This window comes from Homo sapiens, chromosome 3 (genome assembly GCF_000001405.40).
Source record: "Homo sapiens chromosome 3, GRCh38.p14 Primary Assembly".
Classification (NCBI taxonomy): Eukaryota; Metazoa; Chordata; class Mammalia; order Primates; family Hominidae; genus Homo; species Homo sapiens.
The window spans coordinates 132063718-132088623 of NC_000003.12; the positions used below are offsets into that span (position 1 = coordinate 132063718).

The following is a 24906-nucleotide window of genomic DNA, read 5'->3' on the forward strand; positions in this document are numbered from 1 at the left end:
ACTGTTCCATGTGGATATTCCCCAAAGGTAGAAAAGTTTTCCTGGATGAACTTTCAGTCAGAATATTTCCTAGCATCTGGGAAGAACCCCAGAGGACTATATCTAGAACACTAGTGTTAAACAACCTTACCTTCCCTCAATCCAATTTTTGTAACATATCATTAAACTGTCACTGTTGCTACAAACACCCATCTAGAAGCACCTCTAAAATGAATAAAAACAATGATTTGTAACAAGAGAAGTGTTCTGGCAAGTAAAAGGGCAGGTCATAGGTTTTCCTCTTCCCAAGACATAACCATAATAACAACAGTAAAAATACCTTATTAAAAAGTTAAAAGAACTACCTACAACCAACATTATTATATAAACTTTAAAAATGGCAGCTGAGCCAAGGAATGAAGAAGATAATTCCAGTGCAGCTTAGCAGAATAAGTGCTGAGTGAAAGAAAGAAATCAACAGACGTGAGTACTATCACTAACAGTCCCCAAGTGAGCCCCCAACGAGTCAGCAATGTGGGGGACGGCATAGAAATGCTCTCAACACATGTGCCTATCACCACGGCAACTCCAAGGAATGGGAGGAATTCCTAGCACTTCACACTCTCCACTTGGGCATCCCCAGGCTGAGAGAAGAAAGAAGGAAGTCAAAGTGGCCAGAACCACCCAGATCTAACCATCCCCAATAATAATAGGGATTTAACAGAGCATGAAAAAAAACCCCAAAATCATGTTTCAGGGTGTGGAAGTGGGTACACTGAGAACAGAGGAAAACTCACTTCTCCCCTCAGAACTGTGAATGAGAAATGAAGTCTTCTGATACTGTTTTATTTTTATTCTTCTACTGGTAGGATTAGAAATGGCTATGAGGGAAAGACAGGTGAGTAGAAATGGCAATGTGAAACAACCAGGATGATGTAAGTAAGGGCCACACTGACTTGGAGGACTTATCTAAAGTAAGATGATATCTCTGCCCTGTCTCCCCACCACAAGAATAGAAAACAGCTCCAGCCAAGGGCAACGAGTCCTGATTTGTTGTTAAATACCAAGTTTGTTTGTCAAATGTCTTGTTTTGACAAGACATTTGACAAAGTCTCAGAAGAAAGAGAAGTTCCAGGTCCTTCTAAGGTCACATATTGCCCCAGAAGAACTCCCCAAAATCTCTCCCACTGCTATTTTTTTAAATAATTAGAACTCAATATGCACACCTCGAAGCAGCTCAGAAAATGTAGACAAAGAAGTCACTGATAGAGTAAGAAAAGAGTCAAGGAGAATCAGTCCACATTATTAGAACAAATGGAAACTCTGCGTAGAGTTGCATGGAAGATGAAGAGTAAGAGTGTGGCATTAAGAGAATATACTACAGCCAAATGAGAAAGCAAGACAGAAGATAGAGGGAAATGCCAAAAATTGTTTAAAAAACAAAACTAACTTGGAAGAAAATTCTCCAACAGTACTGCATGCAATCATCTTTCTATAGGTTTCTACAGAAAATGAAATCAGTAAAATAAGACCACAAACAAAAGATTTTTTTAAATTGGATGAGAGGAAAATTGAGATTGCAAAGATAAGGAAACAAGCTAAGGACCAAAACAACCCATCATGGAACAAGGAGTATAATAGACACAGCTGAAAACAATTACAAATATAAGGAAGACTTAATCACAGTGAACACAGAGTGAAAAAAAGATAAACAGCCCAGAATAATAAGAAAAAAAGATAATAGGTGCAAAGAACAGAAGAAAAAACTGGCCCAACATAAGGCATATTATTATTCCAGAAATAGAAAATGCAATAAATAGGACAGAAAAAGTATTAAAAGTTATAGTAGAAGAGATTCTCCTTGAAATAAAAAAAATTACATACTGAAAGGACACAAAATGTTCCAGGAGAAATTAATAATTGTGAGAGAATTATTGAAATAATAAGTTATTGAACTCTGAGGCTAAAAAAAATTTATTCAGGTATTTAGTAGAGAAAAAAGCAAGTCATGAGAATGAAAAATAGACGCTGACTTCACAATCTTCACAGCAAAATTTAATGACAGAAGTCAATGACCAATGTCTACAAAGTTATGAGTCCAAGAAACCCTGACCCAAGACTACCTTGAAACAAGGTGTTCTACAAGTGTAGAGGAAAAAAGAAGTTATTTTGACCATGAAACAGTTAAAGAATTATAACATCTGAGGGCCTTTATTGAAATAAACTGCCTCGATTTTTTGGAATCTCTTAGAATGAGCCTATGAAATATTTTTATGAAATAGTAACATCATTGATAACACCAATAATAAACTGTTAAGTTCAGAAACACAATTTATCAACCTAGATTTTAGTTTCTCAGAATGACTTCCAAGAAATGTGTTTTGAAGGTCGTCATAGTCTTCCATTATGTCAGCATCTGAATTAGTGATTTAGCTCAAACGCCCTTCGGTTCCCCTAATAATTTGAAGGAAGACTTTGCCAGTGAATGCATCTATTTCCTTGCAGAGAAATAGTATTTCAGCTCTACTACCTCTTGTTACAAATCTCATATGTTTACTCCCTGCTGCATGAAATCGTGCCTTTTTTTTAGTGATCCTGGAATTGGCTCTTCCGACTTCTTAGGAAATTTTGGTGAACGAATTCATATTAAGATTTTCCATATCGTTTGAGATTTTACAACCTCCACTCTTATCCTGTCTCAGACTTACAAAGGATGCTTCATGAGTTTTCTCACTCCTTGTCCTGAGACCCCAGTTCCCCCTTATTCATTTTAATTTTCCTTCTCTGAGTATGTTTTTTGCAATACCTTATATCGTTGAACACATTTAGCTGTTAAATAAAGGAAAACCTCCCACAGGGCCCATTAGTATTTCATTGGTGGCTCCAGAGTGGGAAATGAGAAAAAACAAAAATAAAACATTACCAACCATGAGCTGTCAAATGATATCTCAACTTCATAATCACCTTCCATTAGTGAAGAAAATACGGACAATGTGACCACCACTGAAATGGGAGTAAAGAAAAGCACCAACAGCAGCAAGTCACTGTACCCCGAATCCGGTGGGTAGAAGCTTGCAATAGAGTCTGATAACTGGGTTGGAACTCCTTGGGTATGGGGGGATGAGTGGAGAGAAATGAATAAGTGAATGGATGAAGCACTGGGGTTATTAAAGGATTAGCAAAGCCAATGCCCAATCAGAGCAACCTTAAAAAGTAAAAAAGGAGGATTTATAATCTGATCATGAGATGGTTCCAAATTTGACCGCTCAGTGAAACAGGATAAGGTATGACGCCATCATCAATATATATGACTCTAACTCTTAATATGCTGTGGATCCTCCCAACTCCGATATTTTCTTCTGAGTCTTTGATTCTGTAACCCTCCCTGTTCCTCGAAAACGGGGTGTCTGAGAAAATGTTCTGCCAGGAGCTTCAGCTGTCTCCCTTAGCCATGTTCATCATTCAGCCAGTTGCTAGCAGTCATCATCATTTAAAAGACCTCAAGCTGCTCTCTGCTGGGCATTGGTTCCCACCAAGAAGCAGGAGGATGAGAGCTGTATCTGAGAGAGTGGACTATTTTTGTTGTCAGTCTTTCTGAAGTCTGACACAATGTTCCTTACAGTCACTCTTCTTCTGGACCTGAACTTTCTGAACTTCATAAGGCAGTCAATCTTCCAAAATTATCGTTACCTGTTTCCTATGCTGCTCTGAGCAAGAAGAGTTGACTTTGTTCTTTGCATGTACCTCTAGCATCTCAGCTTCGCCTGTTGACCCTGTCTCCTATTATTATTTGATTCTAGAAGCTTCATTATGACTTTTCCTAATTGATATAACCAGGCAGGTTACAAATGGAGGCCTGTAGCCCTCTACTGTCTTCTTTGGCATCTTATGAATGTCACCATTTTCACAGACTTTTTCTTCCTAAGTTCATTTCCTACTGAGTCTGCCAACACTGATGAACCAAAGGAGGTATAAAAAGTGTTCTCATATGATGTTTACTAAGTTTTCTAAGTAACAGCAGCAAGTTGCATACTGCATTTGGAACCAAAAGACCTAGATCCTAGTACTGTTTGCCACTGCTAAGTAGTTGTATCACCTTAGGTATACAGGTAGAGCCTGAGTATAACCAAATAGTCTTCAGCTTTCATATCTGTTGAATGCAGACAAGAGTACTGAAGCCATGCTCTCATGGGACAGTGAAGAAGTAAAGCAAGACAATGAATGCAGAGTGCTTCAGTATCCGAAAATTCCTCAGGAAATAAAACATTTATGTTGTGGTAGCAGACTGAAGAACAACTTGTTAGTAACTCTATTCTCCCCCTTTCTGCCTTTAGACTCTTTTATATTAAAGAAAGGAAGTTGGGAGGGAAATAGGTAGAGGGCAAGGCCTTGTGACTTTACTTTGAGTAACAAGAATTTTATTCATTTAACGTTAATTGAGCACCTATTGTGTCTTAATCTGTTTGGGCTGCTATAACAAACTACCACAGACTGGGTGGCTTATAAACAGCAGAAATTTATTTCTCATAGTTATGGAGGCTGGAATGCCATAAATCAAAGCATCAGCAGATTTGGTGTCTGGAGACAGAACCCATTTCCTAGTTCATAGATGGCTGTCTTCTTGCTATGTCCTTACATGGTAGAAGAGGTGAGGAAGATCTCTGGGGTCTCTCCTATAAGGGCACTAATTTCATTCATAAGGGCCCTTCCTTCATGACCTCATCATCTCTCAAAGGCCCCACCACCAAATATCATCAAATTAGGGGTTAGGGTTTCAACAAATAAATTTTGGTGGGACATAAACATTTAGTCTATAGTATATTGTGTATGTATTTCTATGTGCAGTAGATTCATATCTGATTTTTACTTTGATCCTCTCAAAAAATGGAATATTTAATGAGAGATGCAGATGAGAAAACAGTTAAGTATAACAGAGTATGATAAGCATCATGATCAAAATATGAATAGGATATTACTGGAAGCACAGACCTAACCTGAAAGGTAGACTGAAAGAAGGCTTCTTAGAGGGGTTAACCCTGAGGCAAGTCTTCTTTACCAGCAACAACCCCAGTGTACATCTACTTTCCCAGTGTAATTATTAATACAGCCCCCTATGACTATCAAGAATGTCATGGTTTGAATGGTAATATGGTCTTGGGTATATACTTTTCCTTGTCCTCTACAGAGAGAAGATGGGGTAGTGTGATAATTCTAGAACTCTTTTGATAGTTATGGATTTTATTTATGAAATGAAATAAAGTTCTATTGACTACCTATTCTGTTGATCCTATAAAAAGTACCTACAATAGGACCAGATAATACATGCATCCTCCACTCTTTCATTCCCACAGCAGGCATCATTAATTGATTGTGGCAGTCCCTTACTGAGCCAACTCGAACACAACCTCACCATTTTTCTCAACATACTGCTCTAGGCAGCCACTACCAATTGTATCAAGGTGAAATCTCTTTGTCCTCCCAACCTTACAGTGTAAATAAAGCATGGCTCCTTCTCACCTAGCTGGGAAGATCAAGTTGCAATATATATAATTCTAAAGTAAATCTGCCTGTGATAAGTAGTGCAAACAATAGATATGATAGGAGTTCTTATTAGAAAATTTTCATTTTCCAAGCCTCCCATAGAATAATAGCTTTATTTCCCTTAAGAAAAACACAAGAACTTGCCAATTGGATACATCGTCTAGTGTTTCATAGTATCTTTTTTTAGAATTTGAGATTGAAAAATGTCACCTTAGTGATGACAGAATAATTGAGTTTAAAGATTTGACTAGTCAATAAGAATATTCGGAAGACATGTGCAAAGAGCACTGAAGATTTGCAAAAAGACACAAAAGAAGTAAAATAAAAAGAAAAATGACAATAAGCTCATGCATTTTTACCTTCAACCTTCTGGTCCCCCATTAGCTGACAGACACGCAACATCTGAGCTGACTGAAGGCTGATGTCAGCCTCTCATTCCTGGCTTTGACCAGGTGTCGTCTTGCAGTACACAAAAAAGCGTGAGTCTACACAGCAGCCCTGCAAAGGAATCTATAGCACAGTTGCAGAATGAAAAGAAGAATGTAATTGACCCTCTTTTATAAAAGGATTATAAGTTTATCTACAAAATTATTTTACCCCTGACCTGTCATATCTGCGTTGCTCATTTAGATTGCATCTAATGTAGCAACATGGGATAGTTTACTGTGTTGGGGCTCAGAATATGATACACAAAAATATGGCACCTTGACATACTGAGAAAGTCTCTCTGACCTTCTCCTGCCCTCCTGTCTCCCACCCCTCTTTCTTCCCCAAAATGAGCCATAGAAACCAGAATTCCTCTTCCACAAGATGGGTAATAGAAATTAGAAGACCTCTTCCCCAAAGCAACCCATACATAAAACCTAGAAGGGTCATTCTCTACCTTCTGCCTTGAAGAACCTTATTCCAGAGAGATCCTGCCTCATGGCGGGGAGGCTGGGGGAGGGGGTAAAATGCTACAGAGAAAGGCCAAGAAGAATCTGAAGAGACAGGTCTTGCTGTGTTTCCCTCTTCAGTCTGTTACCATTAGATCATGTCCCTTTGTCCAATCACATGTTTCCATGGCTCCCCATTCTTCACTGAACCTGAGCATAAACATAGACAGTCTTCCCTGGGTCTTTGAGTGTTCATTGCTGAAGGGTCCCATGTCATATAAAACTTAGAGTAAATAAATTTGTTATGCTCTTCTTTTGTCAACATGCCTTTTGTTATAGGAGTGTTGGCTGTGATGGATGAGGGAAAGTATCACACCTTTCTCCCCCTACAGCGGTCAAGAAGCACACATCAAGGCTTTGAGACTCTCTTTCAGACTTGTGGCTTATACAAAATAGCTCTCTCAAGTGTGAAGTGATAAGTATGGAAAAGGTGTCAGCATTTGTTAATTGCCTTACCCAAGTATTCTACCCTACACACACACACACACACACACACACACACACACAGCAGCTGCCTCTGGGGGACCTTCTGGGAATTATGTGTCCACAAATTTTCAAACAGAACTGCCAGAGCCTCTATCCTTTCCTTGGAAAGTTCAGCACCCACACTGCTCCTCTCCTCAGTGTCCCTTGCAAATGTTTCTGAGGGTTGTTACAGAGTTTAACCTGTCCCATGGTAATCTCATTTTATGATCAAGTTTCCAGCTTCTACTGAGTCCTCAATCTCCACTTTGCCGCTTCCCCTGTAACTGGAGTTCTTCCTGCACATCATTAGCCCTTTGGGAATTCACTCTTATTCTTCCCACAAAGCACAGTGTCTGTGTAACCAAACATTACTTGGGGTTCAAAGCAACAGGATGGGGACCACAATAATTTAAGAAACCCTCTTAATGTTGGAAAGTAAGATGTTTTTGCTCTGAAGTGCATTCTTCTCTCTCACAGTCTCTTGTTGGCTGTGTTCCCTGGTTAGGCACTGGCTCCCTGCCAGCTTAGGGGCCTCTAGTTAGTTCTCTGTAGCATCCTCTCACCTGTCTCTCTTCTTCTAGCTCCCTTGCCTCTCACATACCCAATCACTTCCTAGGCAGTCCTTAGAAATTCAGAATGTCCTTCAATGTATCAGGTTTATTATGCAGAAGAACCCTGCTGTTTCCTATCTACCATCCTCACTTTTGAGATGGTGCCCTGGGAGAAAGGGAGCTCAATTTTTACCCTCAAAGAGAGCATCAAGATAGAGTCCTAATTCTCCACCTCCTTTGATGTAAAATAAAATCCTCCTTAGCCTGCAAAAGTGGCTACATTCAATTTTCTGCATTTTAAAATGGTAATTTTTCTTCCTGTTGTGCTAAAAGAAAAACAGAGAGAAATTTGTTTCACTATTCATATAACATACTTCCATTCTCTACACATTGTGATTCAGGGAATTATCAGAAAGAGAAGCATTAAAAAAATTCTACAGTTTAATGGAGCAGTACTACACATACCTGAAAATAGCTGCATGTTTCTTATGCTGCAAATATGCATTTCTGAGTAGGAATTTTTTTAACCTCTTTATCAATGTTACTGTTTTTCTCTGTTCTCTTGCAATTTAAAAAAAAACTGAGTCTCAATTATACCAGTATCTAAAGAAAACAGAGTATGAAAAATTGGCACACAGAGCTGTAATTTGGAACCGGGTGTTGTCCTTAGATTGCTGTAGGTGTGTTGGGGGAGGTGTGTTTGGCTTTGCATCATGATCTGAAGCTAGAGCAAGAAAAGGATAAAATTAGGACATGTTTCTTCCTCTGTAAAATGGAGGATTTCCAGATTCCACCACCTAATCTGTATCCCACCCCTTTCCTGTTTCACCATCAGCCCCGTCTTCATCCTTACTCCCCAAGCCCAGCAAAACAGAATAAGCCCTGTGTAGAATTTCCAGAAACATTGCAGCCTACTTCTGGGGAATAGTCTTAACAAATCTAACTGAGAGAGGCCTAACAATACAGGTGAAAACAGACAGGGTTCTAGTTGACTTGAACTGTAGTGTCAGGTCACTGGGAATAGGGACAATATTTTGAAGACTTTTTGAAACTCAGGATTTCTGACTTGTGGTGTGTCACTATGGGAACAATGAAGAATAGAATCGACTCGGGGCTCAAGGACTGTTTTTTTCCTGTCTTCTCTACTCATTAGACAAGTAATAGATCTTAGCTAGCCTGTACCCACTTGCTACTTGCCAAGTTCTGTGCTGTTTTGCTTGTATTATATCATCCATCCTTTATAATGAACCCATGAGATAGCTACTGTTAGGTACTATTATTATCTCTATTAGCTTGAAGACAATTGCATACATATCCAAGTGACTTTGAAACACTCTAAACCTAAATAGTAGTTTTGGATGGAGGGAGTTGTCCAGGGAAAATTCACCAAGGGAAGCCTGAAGTGGGAAGGAAGACATGGAGAAGAATTATCATTTAGTGAGTACCTACTTCATCTCAGGCAACTGTTAAATGTTTTCTCCCTTTATTCTACAAGATCCCAAATGGTTATTATTATCAACATTTTATAGGTGGAGAAACTGCCGAGGTCTTAACCATGTTGGCTGTGAAAACTAGTTTGTATGTCCAACTCAAATGTCCATCAGTGATAGACTGGATTAAGAAAATGAGGCACATATACACCATGGAACACTATGAAGCCATAAAAAAGGATGAGTTCATGTCCTTTGTAGGGACATGGATGAAACTAGAAACCATCATTCTCAGCAAACTATCGCAGGAACAAAAAACCAAACACCACATGTTCTCACTTATAGGTGGGAATTGAACAATGAGAACACTTGGAAACAGAAGGGGAACATCAGACACTGGGGCCTGTCATGGGGTGGGTGGAGGGGGGAAGGATAGCATTAGGAGATATACCTAATGTAAATGATGAGTTAATGGGTGCAGCACACCAACATGGCCCATGTATACACATGTAACAAACCTGCACATTATGCACATGTACCCTAGAACTTAAAGTATAATAAAAAAAAAAAAGAAAGAAAACTAGTTTGTGGGTTTGAATCAAAGTCTGTCTGATTCCATTGTACCAAACGTCTGGAAATTGAGCTGAAGAGCAGCCATAATTCAACATCTAGTGTTCCCAGGTCCTATTTTAGACAAGACCCAATATTTGCCTGCTGAAAAGTCTAATTTTAGAACTACTTCTAGATATACATACTTGGTTTAAACTATACAGATCTAAACTGATAAATATCCCAGTCAGGGCCTTATACACATAATACCTTGATTCCAATTTCCTGGACCACCAGCGAGCTGGCTGAGTCTATTCTGCTTCTCTGACTCCTGCCTCTATTGGAATAAATGGAACATCATAAAAACTCAGTGATGGGACCTCACTCTTCTCAACCATCCTCATAAGATAATAGCATAAAGTTACAGAGGTGGGATCAGAGCTAAGGGATCAGAAAGTCTGCACAAAGATGACAGCAGAGCCTTGCCATCTGAAGTCCTATCCCTGATTTCTACTCCCAGATGACCCTTTCTGTGGGGTTGTCCTGGTTCTCCTCTCCCTTTGGACTTACCAGTCATCATTAACTCCTAAGTCAACATTTAGACACCAGCTTGTAAGGTACCAAAACTGCTTTCCCAGGTGGTGTTATAAATAGCTGTGGGAGAAACAACCAGCTTTTTTTCTTTTTCACTACATGGTTGAAAAAAAAGCATAGCTCTGAGATTTGGGGGAAGGGATGTCTGTGTATATGTGCATATATGTATACAATTGTATGCATATCTATGTGTATGCATGCCTGTGGATATGTATCTTGGTCCCTTGAATTTCTGCTCTGTTTTGAACAGATCTCAGGATTCACTTAGCAGATGGTCTGCCAAGAGCCTGATAGAGCCTAACTTCCCACATTAAATGTTTATGGAGCTGCTGATCAGGGGTGGGGGCAGGGGTAAGATGGACAACTCACAAACCCCAGAAAATAATCAAGCCCTTTTTACTTGAAATATCAAATATTTTTTTGTAGTGCTTTATAGTTTACAAAATGTTTTCACATTCACCAACACATTTTCTCAATAACCTTTTGATGTATGCATTTATTTCAATTTTATACATAAGACAAATGAGGCTCAGGGTGGAGAAAAGATGGCTCAAGCTCATATAGTTCCTATGTATAAAAGAGAGGGCCTCTCACCTAACAAACTGTCTCACTTAAAGTTTTACCATCCCACCACATTGCTTACTACTGTCTTTCCAAGGGGCACAATGAGACTAATGAAAGGGACGTACAGTTATCCTCAGTAGGACTCTTCCCCTTCCAAAGCTTTCAATACATACTTCTAAAAAATAGGAATAAGATGGCATTCTTCACATGCAGAAACATTTTTTCCTTTGCTCTCAAACCAATTTTTTAATACAAAGGACACCTATAATAGAATAAATTTATAGAAGCAGAACAGTACAAAATATAACAGGCCCATTTGCCAAAGGTTTTAGGAATGCATTTCTCCCCAGTCAGGATACAGCAGGAAGTTAAATGTTTGTGGATGAAAAACTCTTAAGACAACACTTCTACCAATGCATGAAACTTTACACTGATGCTTACATGCATGTGAGTGGTGAGGATTAGATAACAAACTGTGGATGTGTAGTGTGTTTTATTAGTCTCAATGAATGCTAATGAAGCCTAATGAAGTAATAAACTGAGACAGAGCATCTGGTGAGAAAGACCTGGTGGATATGGTCCTCGGAGGGTAGTGGAGAAGGAGTCAAGTGTAGAGAAAGGGCTGAGAAAAGAATTGGACTTCACTCCTTCCGTCAGTTCTTTCTCTGTATCATTAGATGTAGGGAGGCAGGTGTTCCCACTGTGTCATTAAGCCATGTCCAGGATACAGCTGTATTAGTGCCCATGAAAACATGTGCTCTCTCCAAGGAATAATGAGCAAGTAATTGCCGTTTTGAGGACTTCAACACATTTTTAAGGAAGGTATATGAGATAACACAGAGGATCACGTGGTAAAATCAGACTAACATGAATCAGAGGTCTTACTCAGTATCAGTCAAGCTTAACTAATGATATCAAAGATGTACATAATCATGAAGCACAGGCAAAGCAAGGAAAGGCCTGGTACCTTCAATGCTGCCCTCAAAGTCTTTTCTTGCCACATCAGGCTAACACTCAAGGCTCAGATTTACCTATGAGTCTCTAAGCAATGTGCACAATTTACATCACTTATAGAACAAGTCATCTATGCTTAGATAGTGACAAGCTTACCTACCACTTTCCAGGGAGCCAAGATCCATAAATCTGTGGATCCAGGTTTATGATGAGAATTCTAGAATCCTGCTAAAAGCTTTCTATTGACAAGGACTGAGCTTATTTTCCAAGAAGTCCACACTTAGCATATTAACCAGGATATTTGACTGGGTCTCTTGTCTTCTTTCTTTTCTGGAGCATTGCACCAATAAAGAGAAAGATTGGGTGCAAGCCTCCTCCTGCTAATTCTTCCCTTCCTGGCATATGACTGCATGTAAGATGTCTGTGAATGGCACTTTTAGTTGACTTTGACTTAGTTCTGGTGATTTGGAACCCTAAAGCATTTCCCAGTTTCTCTCCAGATTTTAGCCAGTGTTAGAGTTGGAGGTGGAAGATTAGCTTGGAGAACGGATGATTCATTATTTCGATGGTTCTTTTCACTCAGTAACCATTTTTATTTGTGTAATACTTTCTCTCTACAAAGAGTTTCCAATAGAATTATACAAACTAATGCAAAACAATCCCAGAATCAGGTAAGGTAGATATGATATGAATGGGGAAACAGGATCAGTTTCAGCTAACAAGCAGTGAAACTAGAATTCAAGCCCAGGTCTGTTTGGTCCCCAAGGTCCATGATCTGTTCACTGCATGATATTACATGTGCTTTAAAGAGTAGACAGGTTTTGACCAGGGTAGAGTGAAAAGTATGTTTCCATGTTTCTTAAACTGAATTTCTTAAACTCAGAGTTGTTTTCCCCAAGCTCTGCTTGCACAAAACTTTTCTAACTTGTTATGAACATAGTAAATGCTAAGTGTGCTATGACGGAAGACTGCTCTGGCATCATAAATCACTTTTTTAAGAACACCCACGTGGACAAAAGATGGATGGGCTCTCCCCACAGCCCTCATCTGCTTCCTTCCTGACAGGTATGATGTTAGTAAGGGGAGTTTGATGCACTTTCCTTCTCAGGCCTCTCATTTCTTCCTCCTCAATAGGAGGTTGATGATTGGCTTCTGAAAAATAGATGAGAAAAGGGAAAGTAAAAGGGATGAATGAAAAATTGTCATAATTTAGTCTATACATTCAAAATATAGGATGCTGTGCTGATACCAAACAGGGACAAAACCATAAATTGCATTATCTGTGCTGTCTTCCTGGTCTAGTGTCAGGCCTGCCTTGTCCCAATCCAAGTACAACTGCTTCACCCCACAGCAGGGCCCTTTTGGTTCCCCAGTTGCCAGCTTGTCCTAGGGCCAAACCAGTTCTGAACTGGGAGATTATCTAGAGCTCTCACCCATTATCTATGAGAGCTCTTACCCATCATTCCATTACCCAACTTTGTTACCTGGGTTTTAAAGCAGCTCTGGCCATGAACTCTGTTATAGAACTCATCTTTTCCTTTTTTAATATATATGTAATTTCAACTTTTATTTTAGATTCAGGAAGTACATGTGCAGGTTCGTTACATGGGTATACTGTGGGATGCTGAGGTTTGAGGTACGATTGTTCACATCACCCAGGTAGTGAACATACTACCCAACAGTTTTTCAACCCTTGCCCCCCTCTTTCCCTTCCTGCTTTAGTGGTCCCCAGTATCTATTGTTGCCATCTTTATGTCTATGAGTACCCAGTGTTTACCTCCCACTTGTAAGTCAGAACCTGAAGTATTTGGTTTTCCATTTCTGCACTAATTTGCTTAGAATGATGGCCTCCAGTTATATCCATGTTGCTGCAAAGAACATGATCTCATTCTTTTTTATGGCTGTGTAGTACTTCATGATGTATATGTACCATATTTTCTTTATTCAATCCACCATAAATGGGCACCTAGGTTGATTCCCTGATGTTTTTATTATGATAGTACTGCAATGAACATATAAATGCATGTGTCTTTTTGGTAGAACAATCTATTTTCCTTTGGGTATACACCCAGTAATAGGACTTCTGGGTTGAATGGCAGTTCTATTTTTAGTTTTTTGAGAAATCTCCAGTGGCTTTCCACAAGGGCTAAGCAAATTTGCATTCCCACCAATAGTGTATGAGCATCCCCTTTTCTCTATAACCTCATCAATTATTTTTTGACCTTTAATAATAGCCATTCTGACTGTTGTGAGGTGGTGTCTCATTTGATTTGCATCTCTCTGATGCAAATGTTGAGCACGTTTTCATATGTTTGTTGGCCGCTTACACATCTTATTTTCAGAACTCATCTTTTCTAAATGAAGTGGCAACCTCATGCCCTGATCTGTGTAACTGGCCTTCTCCTCCTTAGCCTGCCTAGGATTCCAATCTCTGTAAATTTTTCAACTACCTTATTATTTCCATGTAGAAAGGAACTAGAGCTGTGGTCCTATATTCACAATGTCTAGACACATAAAATCTTATGAAAGACTTCCCTAAAATTACAATCACCTTGGTAAGATCACAACAGTCATCTGTTTTCACACTGTGTTATGCCTACCTGTTAGGATATCTCCATTATTTCTGGGTGAAACCCACCACTCAGACCACCCAGTATTATTATATTTGTGTTTGTTGCCATATTATTTGGACACAACATTATATATTCAAGCTGCACCTTTTCTAGCTTCCAGAATTAGTTCTGTTCCCCAAACTTCTAGAGTATCTCAGTAAACAGATAATCACAGCTGTGGTCCCATTTCAGTCAAACTTACTTCACTGTCCTCAGCCTGACAGTGTAAAATCACCCAGCATAGAAAAGCATCCTTTGCCATTAAAGAAGTCTTTGCCAATCTTCAGGGAGCTGAGAAATCTTACTTCATGAATTTCATATTCTCTTCTCCTCTTAAAAGATTTATTTGAATTAATTTTCAAATTAAATTATATGTAACTGCCTCTGAAAAAAATCTCATGACACCCCTGAATATAACTGAAGTCATCTGTAGGTATCACCAAACTGAAGTTGGGACTGTCTTCATGAGGTCAATTTTAAGTCAGGGTCAAAATGCTGTGTAGATAAGAAAGTCTGAGTAACCTTTCCCTTCCCAGATCCCAATCAGCAGATCCAAGTCATATCATATCCCCAAGTACATTCTGACTTCTTTATAAACCAGAAGGAGAAGAGAAAAATCAGCATGTCATCAAGTCAAGAGTTTTGAGGGGGTGAGAGCGAAGAACAGGAATCATTGATAATGTCTCTTGGCAGCAATTCAAAGTCACATCAGAGAACACAGAAAGTAATGATGGCTTTCTGGACACCTGATTCACTCTCTTCAAACTTCTCAGGCTAATAATTCAGAAAGGGGTAATAAACGTTCAAATTTAGCAAGAAGCTCTTCTTAATCTTCAATAGATAATTCAGTAACTATTTCAATAATAGAAAATTTGTTAAATAATATACAATATTGGAGAGTGTACAGTTTGCCAGTTACTTGCATACATCACTGATGGGGTGCATTTTGGTACTTTCGGCCTGAAAAACAAAAACTTTTGTAGTAGGAACCAAAAGCTTTAAAAAGTTAAAAGCCCTAAACCCAGTATTTTAACTAAAAAGTCTATCTAAAAGAACAATCAGAGGTGCAAAGATTATTCATGAGACAATACTTATAATAAAGAAAAAATTGAAATCAATAAAAATGGTTAAATAAAGGCACACCCAAATAATGGAATGTATTTAGCCACTAAAATTATATTCTAAACTTATTTAATGATGTGGAAAAGTTTTCAAGATATAATGTTAGTGGGAAAAGCCTGACAGAAATGCTGTATATATGTGTTTATAAAGTCTCATTTTGTATACAAGATTATATCTGTAAAGTTAGATTACAAACCATGTGAAATTCTGTTTTAGACTTTTCTGTAGTTTCTGAATATAGAGAATGACTCAGACACTGGCCAAGCCAAGGGATATACTCCCTGCTCTGTGACTGTCTTATCTTTTCAGCAGAGAACTCTTTCCACATGAACTGTCCTCTAAAGTGCTTATGCTACCTCCACAAGAGCTCAGATTGCACCGTGCAACTAGCTGTTAAGAAATGAAGGCAAATCTAATTATCCTGGTAATTTCTCAGCCACTAGCACAGTGTGAAAATGGGGCCTTCCTGTTCATACCCTTGGCCTCACATCTGGCCACAGTATACAATGCTTAGTTTTGAAAAAAGAAAGGCTGAAGAATTTCATGGATGCAAAAGAGATTTGTTGTTAATCTGGGTTCCAGGCACATGGTAGGTATTTAATAAATGTGTGATAAACAAAAGAATTAATGACTGAACCAAGCAATCAATCAGTTTATCAGAATGATGGCATTCCTGCCATTCACCTAAGTTATTTGGGGCATCAAGATAAACCTCTTATTTGCCAGTCTTATCTTCTGTATCCTGTTGAGGTCTCCAGTGACCGGGGGGAATTCACTAGCTATCAAGAACCCCAGGATTCTTACTTCATTTAAATTCTGTCCTCTCACTTCTATCTCAGTGCATTCAAGAAAGGGACTCAATGTACAGGCTGCCCTATTCAGTAGCTACTTGCCCCACCACTACTTGCAGATGTTAAAAATATACCTCAAGAGGATATGTGAGTTCTCCCTTCCTCTTGTAAGGAACTATGAATGGTCCAGATGCTGCCAAGGGGACTTCAGGCAGCATGATGAACCACAGGGGTGTTAGGAAAATTCTGAAGACAAAATTTTAACACTAGAGAGTCCAGCTACAAAGTTCTTGCTCTGAAGACCAGGAGTGAGGTCAAGTTCATTGTTACAGAACCGAGATATCAGAGTATGAAGATCCAGAACTAAAGAAAATTAAGAACAAGCAAATGGTAAGGGGTAAGGGTGGGGAGAAATTCCACAGTGATGGCTACAACCACTGGGAATTGTTTTGTTGTTAAAATATTTTGTTGAACTGGCCTGGCATTAAGGGAAAGGAGCAGAGTAGACAATTAACATGTAGGGGCTTGGAGAGGGTTGATCAGGTATTAATAACCCTCTGCTTTGGGCCCTGTAATGGTTAATATTGAGTGTCAACTTAATTGGATTGAAGGATGCCAAGTATTGTTCCTGGGTGTGTCTGTGAGAGTTTGCCCAAGGAGATTAACATTTGAGTCAGTGGAGTGGGAGAGGCAGACCCACCCTCAATCTGGGTGGGCACCATCTAATCAGCTGCCAACATGGCTAGAATAAAGCAGGCAGAAAGAGTTGGAAAGAGCAGACTTGCTAAGTCTTCCCGCCTTCATCTTTCTCCCATGCTGGATGCTTTCTGCCCTCCAACATCAGACTCCAAGTTCTTCAGCTTTTGGACTCTGGGACTTAAACACCAGTGGTTTGCCAGGGGTCCTCAGGCCTTTGACCACAGACGGAAGGCTGCAGTGTCAGCTTCCCTACTTTTGAGATTTTGGGACTTGGACTGACCCACAACTGGCTTCCTTCCTCCTTAACTTGCAGATGGCCTACTGTGGGACTTTACCTTGTGACCATGTGAGTCAATTCTCCTTAATAAACTCCCTTTCATATATACATCTATCCTATTAGTTCTGTCCGTCTAGAGAACCCTGACTAATACAGGCCTGAATACAGTGTGTAGCTTCACAGAATTAGGAACCCCACCATCACTCATTCTCACTGGCCTGGCAAAGCCTGGAATTTAGGAGCAAGCTGTGGGAAAGTATGCAGATAGAAGCCCCAGGACAAATCTTTTTTTTTGAGATGGAGTCTCGCTCTGTCTCCACGCTGGAGTGCAGTGGCGCAATCTCGGCTCACTGCAAGCTCCGCCTCCCGAGTTCACGCCATTCTCCTGCCTCAGCCTCCTGAGTAGCTGGGACTACAGGTGCCCGCCACCATGCCTGGCTAATTTTTTGTATTTTTAGTAGAGACGGGGTTTCACCGTGTTAGCCAGGATGGTCTCGATCTCCTGAACTCGTGATCTGCCTGCCTAGGCCTCCCAAAGTGCTGGGATTTCAGGCGTGAGCCACCGCGCCCGGCCGACAAATCTTAAGTTTATCCTTTATATCCATGTAGTCTATAAGCACAGTGTCTTGCTGTCAGTCAACAATCAGGAGAGGCTTGCTGGGGATTGTGTATTTGTTTGTTTGTAATATTATAATGTTAACTACAACCCCAGAGTACAACAACCCAACAATCTAAATGTTTCTTTTTTTTTTTTGACACAGAGTCTCACTCTGTTGCCTAAGCTGGAGTGCAGTGGTGCAATTTTGTGGTGAAGAGTTGCCCACTACAACCTCTGCCTCCCAGGTTCAAACCATGGTCCTGCCTCAGCCTCCCAAGTAATTGGGATTACAGGCATAGGCCACCATGCCCTGTTAATTTTTGTATTTTTAGTAGAGATGGGGTTCCACCATGTTGGCCAGGCTGGTCTCCAACTCCTGAGCTCAAGTGATCCGCCTGCCTCAGCCTCCCAAAGTGCTGGGATTACAGATGTAAGCCACCGTGCCTGGCCTTTTTATTTTTATTTTTTTTAGAAACTGGATCTTGCGTTGTCACCTAGGCTATATGCAGTGGCATCATCATAGTTCACTGTAGCCTGTCTCAGCCTCCCAATATCTCATCTTTGAATCAGCACATGTCTGGTAGGGATACACTTAACTCAGAAATGCAGAATTAATAGGACCTCAGTCAGCCATGGAGACACAATACTCTCTCTCCCCAAGCGTCTCATGAGCCACATAGCCTCTCTCTGTCTCTTTCTCTCTTTCTCTCCCCTCTCCCAACCCCCAACTACCTCTATATCTCCCTTCTCTCTCCCTCCCTTCCTCCCAAGTTTCTCTCTAGGATTTACTGTCTTCCTCTTGCTTGACTAACCAATTTTCCTGCATCAAGAGTGTCCACATCCTTGTAACTCTGAAGTGCCATCACGTCCTCTTCAGGAACTCTCCAATTCTGCTCCTTTTGCTAAGTTGGTTTTCTCTCTTTCTCTCTCTCTTTCTCTCCCTGCCTCTCTCTCCCTCTCCCTTCCTCTCTCTCTCTCCCTCTCTCTTCTGACATCCACAGCAAGGATCTGTTGTGTCCAGCTCATCTTTGGGGCCTAGGGGCCTAGGCCATGGCATAACTCTCTGGCAAGTCTATGGATTAACTGAAAACGGAGCAAACTAATACCTACCTTGTAGGATGATTGTAAGGATGAAACAAGGTGAAAATGTGTAAATGTAACCTACCATATGTTGGGCATATAGATACTTGAAAAGTTGCTTTCTCTTCCTTTTTTCTCTTTTTATAGTCGGCCAAACTAAATTTTAAGTCTTCAGATCTTCCTCAGGAAATGATTTCTAGTCCCTAGCTATTTAGTGATGTTTATAATTGCTGATCTCATCCACATTCCTTTCTAGGTGAAATTGCCCATCTAAAATCCCATGAAATCCCCCTCCCCATTTTCATAGCTGTTCAGACCATGACAAGTACCTGTTCCTTTTACGGATGAGGAAATTTAGGCACAGTGAGGTTAAGGGAATTTTCCCACACAATCAGTAAGTGGCAGAGTTCAGATCCAACTAAGCCAAAATCTTTGCTATTTTAATTGTACCATGAATAACTGTCTTGAACAATGATCAAATATAATATTACAGAGAAAGAGAAGTTTTATTTATCCTGGCACAAAAGAAACAAACTAAAATAATCAAAATCTCTCGTTAATAGATGTTTAAAATTTGTACCCAGGGATTGCTTCTAACAGGATGCTGCAGATCAAGGGAAATCCTCCAGGAGAGAGTTGTTGCCTGAGGCCCATGAAGAAAAAGCACAAAATCTTGTGATAACAGAAATAGGTCCAAACTGATGGTTTGAGTTGTTAAGTCGTATCTAGTTTACCTTCTGGAATTCCAACATTTAACAAGCGTGTTTTGGGGGGCAGAGTGGTTTAGAGAAGGGATGAAACAACTTACAAGAAAATTGTTTGACTTAAAAGGTTCAAATGTACTATTCTACTTATATTTTGAAGGCAAATAAAGCTTGATTGAGCAACTAAGTTAATCATTGACTCGCACTTGTTCCATTAAATTGATATGCCATAGGTAAGTATAAACTTAGTTTCTTCCTTTTTCAAGGTTGTTTCCTAACTGGGCAGAACAATGACACATTAGTTTTGGATTATCTGTAATCTAGTCTAATTTTTGTAATTATTATTATTTGAGATTATCTTAATCTAGTAATCTGATCATTGTGGCTGGAGAAAGCCAGTCACTCTAGCACAACAGATCTTTAGATATGTCCAGAAAAAGAATGCTCAATGTGCCGGTGGCCCTTGAATTGCACCCATTGGTCCAAGTTCCTGGAGCTTAAGCAAAGACGATGCAAATAATATCCACTGACCATTTGCCACTGCTGCCTGAGGGACCAGACTGTGATGAAATAGTTGAATTTACAAGACAAACGCTTCATGAAGACAAGAAATGACTCATCATTGAGAAGAAAAGGAGGCGGATGTAGCATATGCCTAACATATCTAAGTGACTCTCTGGAGAAGGGCTCATTGCCAGCAAATAGGACATTACCCTCACCAAGCGATTTAAGAGAAAATCCTAGGCATTCCATTATTTTCACCAGTTAAAGTTTATCCAATATTTGACTGAATGAATAAGAAGCTATGCATTGTTATCACATTGAAGCAGTGATGTAAATGACAAGAAAGCTGTAAACAGATATAAGAAAAGAATGAAGTTTGTGGCTGGGTAGGGGATGAACATTCATTGAGATCTGGGCATTACATACCACATGAAATGCTTTACAATATAAGGTTTTTCAACCTCAGCACTATTGACATTTGAGGCCAGATAATTTTTTGCTGTGGGGAGCTGTGCTGTACACTGCAGGATGCATTGCAAGATCCTTGGCCTGAATTCAATAGCTGTCAGTAGCACTGTTCCCCAATTGAAACAACCAAAAATATCTCAAGACGTTGCTAAATGTTCCTTGAGTAGGAAAATCTCCATTGGTTGAAACTGTGACTTTACAATAATAGTAATAGCTAATATTACTAATTAACCATTAACTATTAAACCATTAACCTTTATTAAAGGTTTACTAGATATCAAGTGTTGATTTAAACCCTTTCTTTTATGTTTACCTTTTTTATGATCAACTCTATCACTCATAAAAAATAGTGCAGAAAACAAAATGTATAGCTGAATGATTTATCAAGCAGGGAACATCTATGTAACCACCAACCAGGTTAGGGGGATAAAAGGACATTGCCATCTTTAGAAGATGCCATCTTTAGAAGCTTCCATTGTACCCCCCACCAAATCTCAAAAAACTATCTGCCCCACAAGGTAACCACTGTCCTAAACTTCCTTGTCTTACTTTATAGTTTAACTACTTAAACATGTATCTCTAAAGCTATAGTTTACCTGTCATGCAACCATTCTCAGGCATTTACAGGTGGATGTGTTCCATTAAAACAAAAAGTAAACCAAAAAGAAAACGACTTGCAGTTTAGGAAACAGAGGAGACAACACAAGAATCCTCAAGGTGATGAGGAGGATCATTTCAGAATAGCAGCTGGCACCTAACACAAAAGGACCTGGCACCCACCAGCCCACAATGGAGCAAGTAAGACAGACTCAGGATAGATTTCTTCAAGGAAATGTCATCAGTATAAGTGCCTGATGCATCTGAATGTACCAAGAGGTGATTTGGACAGCTGGTGGAACTTTTTGGCTTCACTTAGAGAAAGGTGCATAGGAAATTAAACAAATAAAGGATAATTTCACTATGAAAAACAAAAAACAGTGCAAAAAAGTTATCCTAGTACACTATGTGACTCAATCATAAATTATTTACATTGTCATAGTGTAAACACTGAGTATTGCTCTAACTGATATAACTATATTCATGTACAGGATAAGGGAAAGTGTGGTGATAAGATGGAGAGGTATATGAAAATTGAGGGAATTAAATCCTCCCAAGTTATGAAGCCAATAGATAATGCCTAACAGAAGCATGTTTTTTAGAGATATGATGGTAAATATCTAAAGTATTCACTTAGAAAGATGAAAATGGTTGCCTCTTAGGAGGAAGAAATGGGAGTAAAATGAAGCCTACTGTTTTTCATATCAAACTTTGTAACACTACTTGACTCTTAAGTCATGTGCATGCAAATTTTTAACGAAAATGAATACTTTAAAATTCACTTTACAAGAGGTAATTATGATACAGGTAAATCCATAAGTAGTGCTTGAAGCAAAATAAATAGAAAATAGATAGTGTATGCATAAACCCAGGTTTAACATACTTTTCCTGAATGATCATTTGCAAATAGGTAGTGCAGTTGTTTGGGGTTCTCCAGAAATAAAAATGAAATGGCAGTAAACTCACCTCATCCCATTCAAGCAAAAATGTTAAGGGATGTGTCTGTAAGATACAAGGCACCACAGTGCAACTGGCCCTTTGTATCCACAAGGCCAACCAACCACAGATCAGAAATTCTCAATAAATAAAAAAAAACAACAATAAAAATAATACACAATTTTAAAAATACAGTATGATAATCATTTACATAGCATTTACCTTGCATCAGGTATTGTAAGTAATCAAGATACTGAAAGCATATGGGAGGATGTGCATAGGCCATATGCAAATACAGCATCATTTTATACAAGGGACTTGAACATCTGTAGATTTTGGTACCCTGGAGGTCCTGGAACCAATCTCCTATGCATACCGAGGGATGACTTTACAGGGAAATTTAAATGCTCAGGAAGAAAGCTCTTCTTCCCAGTGAAATAAGTATTCACTCACCTTCTATATTTTAACATAATTCTTGCTTTCTAGATCACGCATTATAAGAAGAGTTATCAAGAATATCCTACTATTTCAATTATTTCAGCCTGGAGAATACCTGGCACCTCAAACTTCCAAATCCTTTGTCTTCCCAAGGAGGTATCTGAGGTGCTCAGTGACCACTGAAAGTTTCCTAGGGAGGACACAGATGCTGTGGAGTGAGCACAGACATGTGTGTCATGTCTATTTTGGTTCAAATCCCAGTTCTATTCTTAATAGGTGTCTCATCTTGGTGAAATTATTTAATCTCTCTTAATCACAGCTTTGACATCTAAAAATACAAGGATAATAATGCCTACATTGCTCGATGTTTCTCAAAATCAAATAGATAGTTTTTATAAAGTTCTTGGCACATAGATGGTTCTCTAGCAAATTTAGCTAATGTTATAATTATTGTCATCATTATAATTATAATTATTATTATTACTACCGCTGTTGCCAATGGTATTACATCCAACCCACTGCACAGTGCCTTTATAAAACAGCTCCTGCTTCATTTTTCTCCGCTTCTATGGATTCCAATCTTGCTGAGGCCACTGGGTCTTGGCTGATTTTTGGTTTTGGTTTTTGATTTTTTTGAGACAGGGTCTTACTCTGTCACCCATGCCAGGGTGCAGTGGCACAATCAAGACTCATTGCAGCCTTGACTGCCTGGGCTAAAGCAATCCTCCCACCTCAGCCTCCTAAGTAGACACATGAGCACACACCACCATCCTCAGCTAAGTTTTTTATTTTTTATTTTTGGTAGAGGCAGGGGTCTCACTATGTTGCCCCTCTCACTTTGAGAGACTGAGGCTGGAGGATCGCTTGAGGCTGGTCTCAAACTCCTTGAAAGAAGATGATTTCAGGGAGAATTAAGGGACTTTATATATAGGCCAAGAATTTTGGAGCCCCAAATGTAAGGAGTGGGATTTTCTACAAGTTGGGCAGAGAATCACAATCCTTATATTAAAAAACAACAGCAACAACAACAACAAAACACAATCAGCTGTGTGACAGGGAGAGACATGAGGAAAGGCAGAGGGGTAATATTGGGAACTAGAAGATATTCTGCCAGAGGACCTTCAAAGGGGCTAATTCTTTTTGTTTCTTCCTTGGTCATTGCAAAAAGTCAAGTTTAGCCTACAGCTTAACATTTTCCCTTCAACTCTTCAGTAAAGTGTAACACCTACACACAACCATGAATGGTGTATGTTAAGGATAGTGTCATTTGGGGTGGGCATCAAAGGGTTTCTTACTTGTTCCACATCCACTCTTCTGATGGACCCATAGTGAGGGAGCCTTGTCCCATCAAACAGACTGTGCCATGGAATTCTACAAGTGACCAACAGCAAAGCAAGAGAGGAGCCACACCAATTTGTCATGATGCAGTGTTGAATGGGCAGTGAGTATGTGGTGGAATCCACACTTGAAAACAGTGCACATTCAACAGTGCACATAACCACAAGCAGCTCTGTGGGTTGCTGGCAAATGGGATGCTGCTGTTATGGCACCATCTCTATTATAAATGTGTTCTTAGCTAACCTTTAAAAAACAATTTCCCTTAGAAATATAAGTAATTCCTATTTGAACCTCTAAAATGCATTTCGTTCTAGCTAGAGCTATGTATCAACCTTCAGCCAGCTTGAAATATTGTGAGCAACTTTAGACCTCTTAATCAAGGAAACAATTTGAATACACTAAGGGAGCAGTTAAGGGAGAGGCCAAGAGAATGAAAATAAGGGTCACAGTGATGTGCTGGGAAAGATTAAAAACAACCAACCTTAAACTGTTGGAAATAACCCTCAGAATTTTTAGAAAATATATAAAGCTGTTTAGAATGGAATACCTAGCCATTCCCTTTCCTATGAAGTTTTCAGTTTTCCACTTGTAATTACAGCAATCTATAAATTATATTATATATTTCTCTGTCTTAGGTCCCATGAATAAAGACAATCCCCAATCCATATTACATTTTCCAAGCATCTATGAGATGTTGAGAGTCCTTGAAAAAAATATTGAATGATAATCTTTTAGCTTATTCAAATGATGAGCTGCCTAGGCTAGGACATATCCTGAAAACACTATATTATTAAAAAAAAATGTTTTAAATCTAGTTCTGAGAAATAACCTAAATCAAATTTGTAGTCAATAGGCTCATGAGAACAGTCTCCTTGAATGATGAAATTTGAGAACTTGTGTGTGGGAGTAAGGCAAACTCAGTTTCACTACTGGATTTTGGATTTCTATCCTCCTGCAGAAAACTTTCAGTGGCACTATGATTGCCCATTTTGAACCATCCTTCGTCACCTGCCAGAAACAGCCTTGGAGACTGTGGATGGGCTTGATGCCTGGCTTATTCATTCATGATGGTGACTTAGTACCAGGATGTCTCTCCCACAGAGTTTTAATAAGAAAAAATGTTGTCCCTCCACTTACAGATAACAAAAATAGATAAGCAAATTGAGCACAGTGTTTGGTG

The 24906-nt window shown here is 39.3% G+C and overlaps 1 long non-coding RNA gene across 1 annotated transcript in view, besides 1 other annotated feature; it reads left to right on the forward strand.

The window, feature by feature from the left end:
• The window catches only part of LOC105374111 (uncharacterized), a 35387-nt gene extending 15951 nt beyond the window's left edge, over positions 1-19436 (forward strand). The window contains exon 3 of the long non-coding RNA XR_924489.3: positions 19326-19436. This is a non-coding gene — a long non-coding RNA (uncharacterized LOC105374111). The remainder of the gene's footprint in view (positions 1-19325) is intronic.
• Positions 19888-20182: a silencer, noted in NCBI's record as "tiled region #15178; HepG2 Repressive non-DNase unmatched - State 24:Quies". NCBI's record gives its function as "represses a minimal TATA promoter and a strong SV40 promoter by Sharpr-MPRA in HepG2 cells {active_cell/tissue: HepG2}" and the evidence as "EXISTENCE:reporter gene assay evidence [ECO:0000049][PMID:27701403]".